Source organism: Homo sapiens, chromosome 3 (genome assembly GCF_000001405.40).
Source record: "Homo sapiens chromosome 3, GRCh38.p14 Primary Assembly".
Taxonomy (NCBI): Eukaryota; Metazoa; Chordata; class Mammalia; order Primates; family Hominidae; genus Homo; species Homo sapiens.
In genome coordinates, this window is record NC_000003.12 from 114,020,143 (window position 1) to 114,035,975 (window position 15,833).

Genomic DNA, 15,833 nt, shown 5'->3' on the forward strand with positions numbered 1-15,833 from the left:
ATAAAAATACTTAACTTTCTTCATTTCAGCATTTGCTAAGCAACCATCACTGTGTTTCAATTTGGGGACTCTGCACAAAATTGTTTGATATGACCTCTACTTCTAAGAGGTTATAGGGAAAGAGGATGTATCAATGAAAAGACCAATAACATAAGAGAGCATCTACTAGAATTCTTAGAAATTGTCTATTTGGCCAGAAATGTTTTCCAAACAGGGTATTAGTTTATATTCTTGTTTAGACAAACTAAACAATATTCTTCATTATAATTTCTCATTAGGAGAAACCATGGCAAACTTTAAAAAGCCCTCTCCATATGTCAAATAAGGCACATGTCCTAGACCTTCACCTTAGATCTTTTGGAGAGGATGAAAGGGAGGAAGGGAGAGAGGAAGGAAAGGAGATTTGCTGAATACTGGATACTCTTTCAGTTGTAATAGGGAGAAGAGATACAGCTGGCCAGGTTGAGGGGTATGCCTTTTGCATCATTTGTTTACCTGTTCCACAAAATACAGCATGAAAAAAATGGTGTTAACTTGTGTGCCATGGTTGAAAGAAAATGTTCTGTGTCTGTTTACCAAATCCCCTTAAGAGATTCCTCTTGAATGACTTGGTAAAATATTCTATGTGTAGCTATCTCTAATTTTAACTTCAGGATTATTTCAAATGATGAAATAGAACAAACATAATCCATCTTGATAATAATAACACTATTAATAGTATCCTTTGATTCTGACAATCCTTTTCTTTGTAAAGTTCAAAGCATCTTACGTGTACTATTTTTATTAATTTGTAAACCATCACTATAAAATAAAGATTGTAGATATTATTATGATTTACTTCACCAAGCTAAAACTTCAAGTAGAGAAAGGTTTAATGACTAAAATCACAAGTAAAGAGTTAGTGTTACACCTAAGGCTGAAACTGAAACATTCCAGCATCCTGATGACTCTAATCTATTAGGCAAAAACATCTCTCCTGAAAAAGAAAGGCACATTTTTTGCTGCTTTCATAGTGAAAGAAAACTGTATACATAACTTACCGTGGTAGAAAAGCATTGGTTAGGAACATATCTGAATGTAGGAGGGGAAATTTTGAGTTTATAAATTCTATAGTCAATATGTTTCTTTAAAAATACTTATGTTGAGACTTTGAGACCAAAATGATCAGTTTTAAAGGCCTATAATTCAGGTTCACCACACAGAAGCTAACAAGAGCAAAGTGACAAACCTGTATGGCAACTACTTTCTTGAAATTGACTTGCTATTGGTTTTTTCCCTGCCTGCTCAAAAAAACCAATCCCATTAAAATTTAAATTAAAAAAAAAAGTGTGAATCAAGAATAGCTGCTTAGTTATTCTTGATTCATAGCAAACATTATCCAGGTATACAGGAGTCCCATAAATGTGTTCGAAGAAAATATTTGGGAAAGGAATATACTCAGTTCCGTCTTCTCTGGAAAAAGTTGCTAGTTCTGTTTTTATTTAGAAGGGTGGCATACTTCCACAGACCTGAACTATTTATTCTTTCTATTCCTCCCTCCCCCCAGCTTACTTCCTGATGCTCCCAGGCCTGCTTCTCCTCGTTACTTTTCTATACTTTGGAACTACAATAGTGCTCTATCCCTTTGCTTTTTAAAACAAGATGTATGATTTAAAACCACAACTGGGTTGTTCTGTTTAAGCCAGGAGAACTTAAGTTTTAACTAGCCAGGTAACTAGTCTGATTTCCCTCCATTTATTTCCTAGTTCATTTATTTTTGTACCATGTTTTTATTTCTGTTAGATTTTCAAATATAGTCAGGCACTCTTTTCCTAACTTCCATCATCTCTTTATCATAGTTGTGGTAATAATTAAGGCTTGATATAGGTAAATAAAATACAGAAAGTCACTGAAGGAAGAACTGTTCCTAAGTACCTATCTATAATAATTTCTAAAATAAAATACTACCTGGTGAAATTTAGAAACTTTTAAAGTGAAATGGTGTCCTCCCCACAAAATCTTCCACAATACATCATTTGGTTGTTAAGGATTCCACTGAAGAGAAGAAATGACAGCTCGCTCTGCTAAATTTATTACCTGCACTGGAGTTGCCCTCGTTCTGTTAGCCAGAAAAGCTCTTCCCTGAAGTGTAATCACACTACTGTCACTAGGAATGATTGACGTTAGGTGGAACAGCAATTTGCTATCTAATCTTCATTGTAATTCTAACCCTGTCACTAGAGATGCTTGTTCTGATTAATGAAGTGGGTAACTCATCAAAATTCCTCAGCTATTTCTCTTTTGTCAGAAAGCTCAGTGATAATTGCATCAAAATTCTCCGTCATGGAAAAATAAACAATGAATTGTTAAGAGGACAAAAATGTCAACAAGTTTACAATTTATTTTTGCTGAATGGAACTAACTTTGGTGCAACTAATGGTCTAGGGAAGTTGGCAAAGGCTGGAATGTCAGGAAGAAAGCTACATTCTACACCCAGGCCCCTAAGTGACTCCTTGCTGTTCTCAGGCCAAAAGAAGAGAAACTCTATTGCTACAAAAGGGAGCAATCCTCAACTTCTCTTTTCCTTTGTGGGCTACTGTGGCTGGGCAGGAGACCCCACAGATGCTATGAAGTCCCTGGGGATTAGAGAGGTAGTTTTAAGTTGAAATGAGGAAGGAGAAAAAAAATTAATAAAAAATGGGGATCCTTTCAACATAGTGTTGGAAGTTCTGGCCAGGGCAATCAGGCAGGAGAAGGAAATAAAGGGTATTCAATTAGGAAAAGAGGAAGTCAAATTGTCCCTGTTTGCAGACAACATGATTGTATATCTAGAAAACCCCATCGTCTCAGCCCAAAATCTCCTTAAGCTGATAAGCAACTTCAGCAAAGTCTCAGGATACAAAATCAATGTGCAAAAACCATAAGCATTGTTATACACCAATAACAAACAGAGAGCCAAATCATGAGTGAACTCCCATTCACATTTGCTTCAAAGAGAATAAAATACCTAGGAATCCAACTTACAAGGGATGCGAAGGACCTCTTCAAGGAGAACTACAAACCACTGCTCAATGAAATAAAAGAGGATACAAACAAATGGAAGAACATTCCATGCTCATGGGTAGGAAGAATCAATATCGTGAAAATGGCCATACTGCCCAAGGTAATTTATAGATTCAGTGCTATCCCCATCAAGCTACCAATGACTTTCTTCACAGAAGTGGAAAAAACTACTTTAAAGTTCATATGGAACCAAAAAAGAGCCTGCATTGCCAAGTCAATCCTAAGCCAAAAGAACAAAGCTGGAGGCATCTCACTACCTGACTTCAAGCTATACTACAAGGCTACAGTAACCAAAACAGCATGGTACTGGTACCAAAACAGAGATATAGACCAATGGAACAGAACAGAGCCCTCAGAAATAATGTGACATATGTACAACTATCTGATCTTTGACAAACCTGACAAAAACAAGCAATGGGGAAAGGATTCCCTATTTAATAAATGGTGCTGGGAAAACTGGCTAGCCATATGGAGAAAGCTGAAAATGGATCGCTTCCTTACACCTTATACAAAAATTAATTCAAGATGGATTAAAGACTTAAATGTTAGACCTAAAACCATAAAAACCCTAGCAGAAAACCTAGGCAATACCATTCAGGACATAGGCATGGGCAAGGACTTCATGTCTAAAACACCAAAAGCAATGGCAACAAAAGCCAAAATTGACAAATGGGATCTAATTAAACTAAAGAGCTTCTGCACAGCAAAAGAAACTACCATCAGAGTGAACAGGCAACCTACAGAATGGGAGAAAATTTTTGCAATCTACTCATCTGACAAAGGGCTAATATCCAGAATCTACAATGAACTCAAACAAATTTACCAGAAAAAAATATACAACCCCATCAACAAGTGGGCGAAGGATTTGAACACTTCTCAAAAGACATTTATGCAGCCAAAAGACACATGAAAAAATGCTCATCATCACTGGCCATCAGAGAAATGCAAATCAATACCACAATGAAGTACCATCTCACACCAGTTAGAATGGCGATTATTAAAAAGTCAGGAAACAACAGGTGCTGGAGAGGATGTGGAGAAATAGGAATACTTTTACACTGTTGGTGGGACTGTAAACTAGTTCAACCGTTGTGGAAGTCAGTGTGGCGATTCCTCAGGGATCTAGAACTAGAAATACCATTTGACCCAGCCATCCCATTACTGGGTATATACCCAAAGGATTATAAATCATGCTGCTATAAAGACACATGCACATGTAGGTTTATTGCGGCACTATTCACAATAGCAAAGACTTGGAACCAACCCAAATGTCCAACAATGATAGACTGGATTAAGAAAATGTGGCACATATACACCATGGAATACTATGCAGCCATAAAAAATGATGAGTTCATGTCCTTTGTAGGGACACAGATGAAGCTGGAAACCATCATTCTCAGCAAACTATCGCAAGGACAAAAAACCAAACACCGCATGTTCTCACTCATAGATGGGAACTGAACAATGAGAACACAGGGACACAGGAAGGGGAACATCACACACCAGGGGCTGTTGTGGGGTAGGGGGAGGGAGGAGGGATAGCATTAGGAGATATACCTAATGTTAAATGACAAGTTAATGGGTGCGGCACACCAACATGGCACATATATACACAGGTAACAAACCTGCACGTTGTGCACATGTACCCTAAAACTTAAAGTATAATTTAAAAAAATGAGGATCTTTGTCATGGCAAAATAAATCTCCAGTAGGAAGTGCAGTATTGAATTCTGCAATGTAAAAGCAATACCCCATGACCAATCCTATTCCTGATTTTCATAATTTTACCCCAAAGAAAAGAGAGGAAATCATGGTAACCTCCAACCCCAACTATATATGCTCATAACTAATAGCATTAGAGAAAATACATTCAGTTCCCAGAACACAGTGCTAAGACCTGAACTTGCTGCTGGGTTCCATGGAAAAGCCTAGAGGCCTAAACTTTGACAACCACTGCCATGTGAAATGCTACCCCGGCTATAGACAAAAAAACTATGTCTGTTATATCCTGGAATATGTGATGCTCATTTTACTTCTATATTAAATTTTTTTCTCCTTCCTCATTTCAACTTACCAAAAAAAAAAAAAACAAAACCCAAACCCTATCACTGTTCTAAAAGCAGAAACAAAGAATAAACCTTTACCCAACTTCAAAAATTATCAACATTCTGCCAATCTTATTTCATCTCTCCCCCCACCAACTTTTTTTCTGAAGTATTTAAAAATCACAGATACCGCATATTGTATCATGTTATCCATAAATGTGTCAATATGTACCCCTTACATAAGGCCATTTTATAAGTTCTTAATTCTGCTAAAAAGTTTCAGTTGATAATATTGCTGTAATTATCTAATAGTTACATTGTTTCACTCTAGAAATAGAATTTCAAGAAGGAATTCCTTAGTCTCACCAAATAGTAAATGCTTAACCAGTAAAATTCTCTGGGTTCTTTACAGAAGAATGACCACAGTGCAGCCTATCACCTGAACACTCATGAGTTCTCGTGACCTCAAGTCTGGAGAAAAGGCAGACCTACGGCTCCCTATCACCTTCTCTTTGCCTTCTTTCTTCATGTCCCTTAGAGACCTTCTTCCCCATCTCTACCAAAATCCCTGTTACCTGCCCACCCTTCATCCTTGGCCACACACATAAACACAAACTATGCCAAGAACATAGCTTACTTCAGAATATATCAGACAAATGCTTGATTCACCTCCAGGATACTGTGATAGTAAGACAATGACGTGATGTCTTTCATTCCTCACCCACATGGCTCTCAAGATCCTTATAATATTCATCTGAAATGTCTAGTGTTTAGGGGGGAAATATTCTACTCTATACAATTTTAGGGAATGGGCTTCATTTGTGCCAAAGTCTCTTTTTTCAATTTTTAAAAATCAAAATGTAATCAGTACTTTTTTTGAAAGACAAAAAAAATACATTTAAAAATAGGGACCTCTGTAATAAAAAAGACTTCATGGAACTTTGAAATGCAAAACACTAGCACAATATTTAGGTAAATTGGCCCTCACTGTCACCTCTGTGAGAATGGGACATCTGGGTTACTTACAGGGTCAGGAAAGAAAGAACATAACAAACAATTTCTTTACCAAAACTGGTAACATTTTAGATGGAAAATTCCTACAGAGTTAGCTACATAAAGTAAAATATAATAATGCTTTAAACCCCTCCCAAGACATATACCACACATTGCCCTTGGCAATAAACCTAGAGGGGAGAGTTATATGAATCCCAGTAATCTTCCTATGTGTGCTGGCATTTCTCTTTTTCTGTCGTTTTATTTCTAAAGAGGCTTTTCCTTTATTTCCCTCCCCTAACATAAGAAAACATTGCTGAGAGGATGGTTGCTATGTGTCAGCTCAGAAATGGTTTTGCCTCAGTGGTGTGTAGGCAGTCTTGATAAAACTAAGATCTTTGGAAAGGAATCATGGTATATAAATGAGATATTTAACTACAGTTTTCGTCATTCTGTCAGAGAAAAACTCCAGGCTTCTTTTCCATATATAGTATCCCTACATTTCCTTGGTTTAGTTTGAGGTGGACTTTTGGAAGGTGCTGTGCCACAAGCATAACTTTAATGATGATTTCTTTGGATCATTATTATTTTATTCTTTAACAGAAAAATCCAACCAAATAAGCAAACTAAAACCTTCCCCCAAATAATTAAGATGTAGGTTAGTGTCACCCATATTTTATCTTTCTCTTCAGTTTTCACAGGCAGCAAAGATCATAGAGTTTCTAATCTTATTAAGAAAACCAAAATATATTTCAGAACTGGATGAGAATGAAGAAGGCCATTTTCCAAATAGTATAAGAGTTTTATAGTTAATCCTTTGTTGTTTCTGCTAATTAGCAGTGACACATGAATTGCTGAATCTCCCCCAAGAGATTTCACTGTAAGATCAAAGAGAAAATGGGATAGGCTGGAAGTAGAAAGCTTCTACACAAAAAACAAATGTTTTTGACAAGACATGAAATGTGTAGAAAAGATGCATCAATAGTGCTGCATCTGAACTTGAGTTTTGATAAGAGAGCCTGCACTGTTTCTCTCAGTCTCCTATTAAATAATGTGGCCCAAATAAGATGTTAAGAGATACTCTGGGAGGAACAAATAAAATCCAGAATTAGGCCGGGCGTGGTGGCTCATGCCTGTAATCCCGATGCTTTGGGAGGCCAAGGTGGGCGGATCACGAGGTCAGGAGATTGAGAACAGCCTGGCCAACATGGTGAAACTCCGTCTCTACTAAAGATACAAAAATTAGCTGGGTGTGGTGGCGTGTGCCTGTAATCCCAGCTGAGGCAGGAAAATTGCTTGAACCTAGGAGGTGGAGGTTGCAGTGTGCCAAGATTGTGCCATTGCACTCCAGCCTGGGTGACAGGGCAAGACTCTGTCTCAAAAAAAAAAAAAAAAAAAAAGAAAAAAAAATCCAGAATTAAAGCACAAACAATTACAGGAATTAAAGGAACCTAAACTATAGCAACTCCTAAAAACAGATTCTTTAAAGTCTTCCTGCAAATACTCTACACAGCTGTTTCTACAGGGTTTGTACCAGTGAAACATTCTGAGGGTGCTGACAAGAGCTTCCAGTTATCTAGTCACTCCCTGCAAGGCAGCTAGGCATTTTCCTGTTTTCATCCTGTGGTCATACCTAGGCTGCTGAGTATCCAAGTTTCATTACTCAAGGCAGCTTTAGGCTCCTTTAGAGCTGAACGTTAACTGGGACCAAGATAATGAGCCCAGAAGGCTTGCCTATGCCTGTGGCCTTTACTGGAGGACTGTCCTATCTATAACCAAGTCTATGTAAGAGCCCGAGGAGGCTGGTAGATGTATTTTTACCATGTTACCCCATATACGCTGGGGAAAATCTAGAGATCTACTAACCATATTACAAATGAATAACATAATTACACTGAAAAGGGAGGGGAAGAAAAGAACTCACCTAAGTAACTCTGGAAAACAATATTTTGACTGAATACTATTCCTCCAAAGCTAAAACCAAAAATAACCGTACAATATTTTGCTTTAGTGAATTTATTCCCACTGTGGTATGGGTTAGCAATTCTAAAAATTTTTTTTTTTTTTTTTTTTTTTTTATCGAGACGGAGTCTCGCTCTGTCGCCCAGGCTGGAGTGCAGCGGCATGATCTCGGCTCACTGCAAGCTCTGCCTCCTGGGTTCACGCCATTCTCCTGCCTCAGCCTCCCGAGTAGCTGGGACTACAGGCGCCCGCCACCATGCCTGGCTAATTTTTTGTATATTTAGTAGAGATGGGGTTTCACCGTGTTAGCCAGGATGGTCTCGATCTCCTGACCTCGTGATCCGCCCGCTTTGGCCTCCCAAAGTGCTGGAATTACAGGCTTGAGCCACCGTGCCCGGCCTCTAAAACTATTTTTATAGTGTACTAGGATTACCCTAATAAGTAAATATAATAGAGATAATGAGAGCCAGGTTTCTCAGTGTCAGAGAAAGAAATTACAAGTGAGCGAGATGGAAAGACTACACTGAAACCTGTGGTGCTGGATTATCCTTGACAATATTATTATAAATTCACAGTTATTTTATATATATTTATATATACATATATATGTAGATTCATAGATACAGAAGTCAGTTACAAATAAGGAAAAGGAGAATAACATGACCCTTGTGTTGCTGAACTCATGGATTTTAATATGTATACAGATAGACACAGAAATAAATATAATGTGTGTGTATATGTATGTTAGTATACATACATACATACACACATATATCTATGTATATATCTATATATATTTTATATATATTTTAGCTCTGTCTGCTGAGGCGGCCTAGAAAAAAATGACACTCCAGTAGCAGTGAACACACTTAGTGCCTAGATCTTAGTTTCCAAAGACCGTTTTTCCAACAAAAGGAATCAAAGTTCCATGTAGAAGTGGTTGATTCTAGGGTGAGGACAGGTAAAACACAAGATAAGCATAAAGTATCTTGTGGTGCCAACAAAAAAGAAAGTGTCCAAAATAGGATGGAAGCATGTTGAAAGAACAAAGGAGCCAACTTGATAGGTTTCCCAATAGACACGTTGAAACAATCTGAATAAGCAAGTAAACAACAACAATATTAGATTATGACCCATAGAATAAAATAAATATCAATGAGCTCATACTGAATAAAATAAACAATTGCATAAATGAATGAATACATAAATACACATATACATACATATACACATAGATGAAGGAGAAGGGACTGTTTTCCTTCTAGAAGAATTTCAATTAAGTATAGAAGAAATGAGGGAAACGCAAAATCACCATTAGGCAAATACATTAACAATTGTTGCAGGCAAGAGCCACCAATGGATGTTAACCTTAATGGGTGACAGTTTACAGAGAAACAAAATATTTTCATAGCTTCACAGTATCTCCTGAAAGACAAGGAGAAGGAAAAACAGCAACTCTACAATGGAGAAACTCAGCACACACCCTTAACCAAGTGATCAAAGTTAACATCAGTAATTACGTCCTCCTTGTTAGGATATACAGAGAAGGGCACAGTATCACATCTTATAGCATTCTTACCAAAAATGCATAACCTTAAGCAAGGGGGAGAAAACATAAAAAAAACCAAAACGAGAGACAATTCTACAAAATACCTGACCAGTTCTCTTCAGAAATGGCAAGGTCATAAAAGACACGGAAAGACTAAAGAAATGTCACACACTGGAGGAGACTAAGGAGATGTAATAAATAAATGCAGTGTGAAATTATGGATTGAGTCCTGGAACAGAGAAAGAACACTAGTGGAAAAACTGGTGATATTCTCATAGGGTCTATGGTTTAGTTAATGGTATTTAATGGCAGTGTACCAATGCTAATTTCCTAGTTTTGATAATTATACTATGCTTATGTAAAATGTTAACATTGGGAAAAGTTGGGTGAAGGTTATTCAGAAACTCTGCACTATTTTTGCAGCTTTTCCATGTCAAATATTTTAAAACTAAGTAATCTGTTTTCGATTGGCCACTAATTTTGTAAAACTGCATATGTGTCTAACATTCATATTTGGCAGTTCCATCTAAAATATATATGATTGTACAGTGGACTTCAATACAATTTAAGCATTTTTTAGAAAACACACTTTATTTGTCTCTAATTTGTTGGGAAATATATCATGGTATTTTTTCCTTATGTCTTCTCAAGATGACTCCCTGAATACTCGTTTCTCTTCTTATTTTCTCTTTGAAATCTGAACTGTTATTATATAGGAGGAATACTAATTCCATCTGTCTCATGAAGAATGCAGAATCTAAGTCCTTTGCTAACTTTTCTCAAAATGTTAACTGCAAGTCTTACATTTCTCCCTACTACATTTCCTTCTGTTTTCCTGAAGCCAAAACTCTGACCAAATTTTTGTTGGTTAATAACTGAGTAATTACAACCTCTTATCAGTTCAAAATATCACCATCAAATATGTCTATCGTTTTTAAAAAATCACTTTGACTACTTTACTTTTTCCTTCATATGTTTGTTATCCGTATGATATTCAAACTCCTGTTATTGATTTCCAGGACCTTTGTAAGTCTATCCCTACATTTACCAAGCTCCCTCAGTATCTTCCTAACATTCTCTTTTCTCTTGCTAAATCCATTCATTCACGTATTTATTCAATTAACTTTCTCTGAATTTCAGCAATGCCTAAGGCCCTGGGGTGGGTGTTGTAGGATATGTAAAATATACATATTTATCTTTTCTCATCTAACCCTCTCATTTACAAATCTGCCCAGTCAGTCCTTTTACCTGAAATGTTATAATCCCAAAATTCATACTTTTATCAATCCCACTTTATTGAAGAAAACTGCTTAAGTAACCTGAAGAGGATATTCACTTTTATATTAAAAATCAGCAAGTAATTTTTACAAAAAGATAAAGTGAAAGAAAGGAAGAAAAGGTAAAATAAAATATAGACCATTAAAAAGAAAAGCACAGGTTTAAGTGTATCATTGCTTTAGGATCAGAGCTACTAAAAGGCAAGTAACCAGTTCTTGTATCTTCTGAATAATCCAGAACACAATGGTCCTTACAACTGTCAAAGTGGAAGCCAAGATTTCAAAAACTGCCAGAGAGCTACCTTAGTTTAAGGTTAATAATAGTTAAATGCTATTCTGAAGAGGTAATTTAGGAAGAAGTCCACAATTTACCCCCCTCACCCCAGTAATTTCCCAGGATCCCACCAGAGTATACAAAGAATAGCCTCAGAACAGGGGATTTGTGTACTGCCCTGCATACCAGGTCAGCTGGGCACAAAGAACAAATGGCGTGGGCAGTTTTGGTATTTGTGATGAGGTTCAACTGGACTTAGTTTTTATTTTATCCCATCTCTGATGGAGCTCTTTGTCATTTATACTACAGAATGCTGAGTAAAGAGACATTGCAATTCCCACCTGTTGATTTTCTTTGAAAGTTTGGATTAATACTTCTTTCAATTTCCTTTTTCTTTCCTTCACCATTTTTTCCTCATCTGGAAGAATGTGAGTACTTTGAAACATGACTTTTTCTGAACTATTTTGAGAATTCTCTTCTTGCCTTTTCTTCTCTCTATTAATAACAATTTAAAAATACATGTATATTTACAATAGATTTAAAAATGAGCAATTACAACCTACTGTAGCAGAATAATCACTGAATTCTCCTTCGGAATACACATATTTTTAGATCTGGCTCTAAAACTACATAGTAGGGTAATTTTTTTGGAGACTTATTTTATTCCTTTATAAAATACAGATTAAATGAAATAAAATTGTTATAAAGTACTTTGAAAAGTAGAAAGTCTTATAGATACTTTAGTATTTTTATTGAGTTGCACACTGAGCCATACTTTGATCAAAATTTGAGAGTTAACAACTACAAGATAGTCTCTAATATAGACATAAATTATCTCCCATAGAACGAGAAAAAAAGGATTCTCAAGAAAGGAATGAGATTCTTACTAAAAGGCCTCTTATAAGGTTACTAGAAAGAGGAATAACAAAAGAATCAGGTGTTATTGAATAAGGAGGGAATGGAATCTAGAATAATTTTAAAATAGCTGAAAAGAGAAAAAAATAGAACTTAAAAAGGAAAAGGACTTTAGGCAAGTAACCAGAATTATTTTAGTAACTTTGTTGCTCATCTTTCTGAGCATCCTCTTTTTTGCCCACCTATCTATTCTTCCTCATCCAGGCCATCCCTCTTTTGCTCACCAATTCAAACAAGCTCATAGCTATGGCCTTCCTACTGTAGTGCATTTAACTGCACAGGTATATGTATGTGTATAAAGTATATATTATTAATGATGTGGTAAACATAGCACCTAGTCAGGAATCAGAACTCATGAGCTCTGGCCACAAACCAGCTAGTCACCTGATCTTTCTTGAACTTTTAGTTCACAGTTGTGGAAACTAAAATGGAGAAAGATGCCAGAGTACCCTACCCCTTCTCTCACTCATTCTCATATATGTTACAGAGGGTACACAGTGTTATGTTGTATTATTGGTAATGTTAACCTTCATCACTTGCTTAAGGTGGCTTCTCCAGTATAGAGTTATTATTTTTCCCTTTGAAATTAATAAGCATCTTGAAAGAGATAACTTTAAAACTAGGCAATGAGGCAGATTTAAGATAGCTTACAAATAGGTTCAAAAGGCCTATCAACAATAAAAATGTTATTGACTTTTTCCAAACTATGAATGCCATAACAATGTTATATTACATGGTTATAGACAGGTGATAGTGATTGTCAAAGAAATACAGTTCTAATACCATGAAACTGATTTTTTAAAATAACATTAGAATATATATCTATTTTAAAAGAAATATATGCTCATTGTGAAAAACTGGAGAAGTATAAAAGTCATCCATATTTCTTTTTTTTTTTTTTATTTTCTGTTTGCGATGGAGTCTCACTCACTCTGTCACTCAGGCTGGAGTGCAGTGGCATGATCTCGGCTCACTGCAACCTCTGCCTCCTGGGTTCAGGCGATTCTCCTGCCTCAGCCTCCCGAGTAGCTGGGGTTACAGGTGTGTGCCACCACGCCCATAAAAGCCATCCATATTTCTACCCAGAAAAAAAGTCAGTCCTGTTTCATTGTACAGCCATGACTTAGCAATTTCTCCAATATTTACGAAAGTCTGTTATTATAAATAATGTTGTTTAAATTATCTTTCTGCACAAATCTTTGTCTGGATTTCTGATAATTTTCTTAGGGCAGTTTTCCTAAGGCTGTAATTCCTAGGTCAAGGGATAATACTATTTTACGGCTCTTGTTGTTTACTGCCAAATTGCTTTCTGGAAAGTTTAAATCAGTTCATCCACCCAGAAGTAGAACATATTACCTATCTCACTGTAACCATGGATAAGATCTTAACTTTTAAAATAAATGACTGGTCAGTGAACATTTGTTGAGTGCCCACTGTGAGCAGAGCATCCTACTACCATTAAACGTTACTTGTTTTCACAATTTATTTTAGGTCAACCTAGTTTTTCCAGGGCTTGGGAGCAATATGAAAAGCAAGGCTGACCTTAGAAAGAACTCACTAAAACACCAGTGATTGCTTTCTGAAAGGAATGGCATCTGGAGGAAGCCTCAGCCTGGCACTTGAAGAAGTAAAGCACATGTCCACTGCTGAGCTGTTTTAAACTGGGTAGAATAAGAGCAATCAAGAGCACAGGGGGGAAAGCTGTGTAGGCTGATGGGGGTGGAAGGGATTATCTAATAGGTCTTTGTGGCCTCTCAGTTCGAGTAGTCAGACACTTCAGTCATGCTGTTCCAAGGCTTTTGCAGTTCCTGCATCAGTGCTGTTTCTCAGAATAAATACATTAGTTATTTCACTTATGAAGCTCATTTTCTGCATGAGGATGGATAATAGTACTACATCCTGTGAGGACTATTTTCATCTTCCTCTTATGTCAGATATTCTTTTTCTTTATCAGTGGTAGTAAGGCAGTGGTGACTTTCCATATGTTTATCAGAAAATAAGACACACAATTCACAACAGGATAAGACACAATTACTGAACATGTTCAACCTTAAAAATATTATCTAACCAAAGAAATGCAAACTAATCAATGTAATACCTATTAAAAGTGTAAAAATATTGAAAATGATGATACTCCCTAAGGCTGAGAAGAGTATGATAAACTGGCCTGCTGCTGATGATACAGTAAACAAGTATCATCAGCAAAACAACCCATTTTGAAAGCAATTTGGCAATGTTTCAAGAGTCAGAAAAAGACCTGTGTCATTTAACTCAGAAATTATGCTAAGAATTTATTCTAAGAATATAATACAAAAGAGTGAAAAAACTCTATGCTTAAAGATGCTCATTGCAATCTTATAATGGTGAAAAATCCAAAATAGCTGAAACATTTACCAGTATGGGGAGGTGGTCATTACATAAATTATGGTATAGGAACTCAATGGAGTATTATACACATCCCAGGACTCCAGGCAATGTGTTAATTACAACAAGCAGAATTACAAATTAAATGTACTTTATGGTTGTATAATTAAGTATGGAAAGGGACCACGTCAGGAGGAACATGGAAATATGAAATTAGTTAATTTGTTAAGATGGTGGAATAGTGAGTGATTTCTCTTCTATGTTTTGTTATTGAATGTTTGTGCACTTCAAAAACTTCAGAGCATTTCTAAAATGACTGCTTAAACAGAGAAACCCCACAGTGCTTATCACACTGGCTTACATTTTCCATGCTGCTTTCACAGTGCGTCTCCTCTCAATTATCTCCCTCCGCAGCTTCACCATCTCCCTTTGAATCTCCTCTTCCTCTTTCTTGGCCTCCAGAGCCTTCCTTTTCTTCTCTTCTTGCACCAGACACTGAGCCTCCAAGAAGGCCGATTTTTTCAGGGTCTTTTCTATTCTCTGGTACTCCAGTTCTTTCTCACGTCTTAAGCGATTTTCTTTTACCTTAAAGCAAATATAATAAAGATGAAGTGTGGCCTTTCAAGTAGAAAGGGATATGAAAAGCCTTACAATACATTTTGAAGTTCAGAATACAACCAGTTTGAAATATGCTGGCCCAGAACTCCACTGTTTATTGGTAGGAAAGGAGGAATTCATCTGTTTACTGGGTAAAGATGAATATAACATTTTAGATGAAGTCAGATGAAGATGACTCAAATAATCTGGGAATGATCCACATCACAGAAAAGTTGAGAATCTAATGAGTCAGACCCCAAGTTCTGGATTCTCATTTAGGAATGATTTCTCACTTGTAAGATTGTCCAAGGTGTACATTACTGCTTTTATTATACTTAGGTCATGTCTGCATTCTAATTTAAGAAAGAACAGAACTTTTTTGGAAGCCACACTGTGAATGATAGAACAGTGATTTATTGCCTTTAGGAACACCACAACCCTTTATTCATTTCTATTATTATTATGTAAATATAGCAGTGATTCTGGATCATATTTGGAAATCAAAAACATGAAAAAGCACATTCATTTTTTTCAAACCTATTAATCCTTTAGAGGGCTTGAGTAGCTATGAGAAAGGAAAGGTCCTTTCCTTCCTGCTTCACCTAACTTTACCCTTATCTTACTCACTAGTTGTGATAAGTCTTCTGATAAGACAATGACTATATAGCTTATTGAACGTTCTCTCCTCTCTTTTGTCATAAATCCAAACTAGAATCATACTTCTACTCATTTCTCTAACATCCCCAGTGCTGATTACATATACCTTCATTGAATAATTTAAAGCAGTTATTTTCAAATTCGGCAATCAGAAATTT

At 36.4% G+C, this 15,833-nt stretch overlaps 1 protein-coding gene across 11 annotated transcripts in view; it reads right to left on the bottom strand.

Moving 5' to 3' along the window:
* Positions 1 to 15,833, bottom strand: part of CCDC191 (coiled-coil domain containing 191) — a 92,477-nt gene that overhangs the window by 56,006 nt on the left and 20,638 nt on the right. For 10 of the 11 annotated variants that reach the window (NR_148531.3, XM_011513052.3, NM_001353767.2 and 7 more), the window contains 2 exon segments: positions 14,783 to 15,006; positions 11,484 to 11,637 (listed from right to left, as the gene is read on the bottom strand). Coding sequence is in view for 10 of the 11 variants with exons in the window: in XM_011513052.3 (XP_011511354.1) it covers positions 11,484 to 11,637; positions 14,783 to 15,006 (378 nt within the window). In the remaining variant the exon portion in view is untranslated. 11 annotated transcript variants of the gene reach the window in all.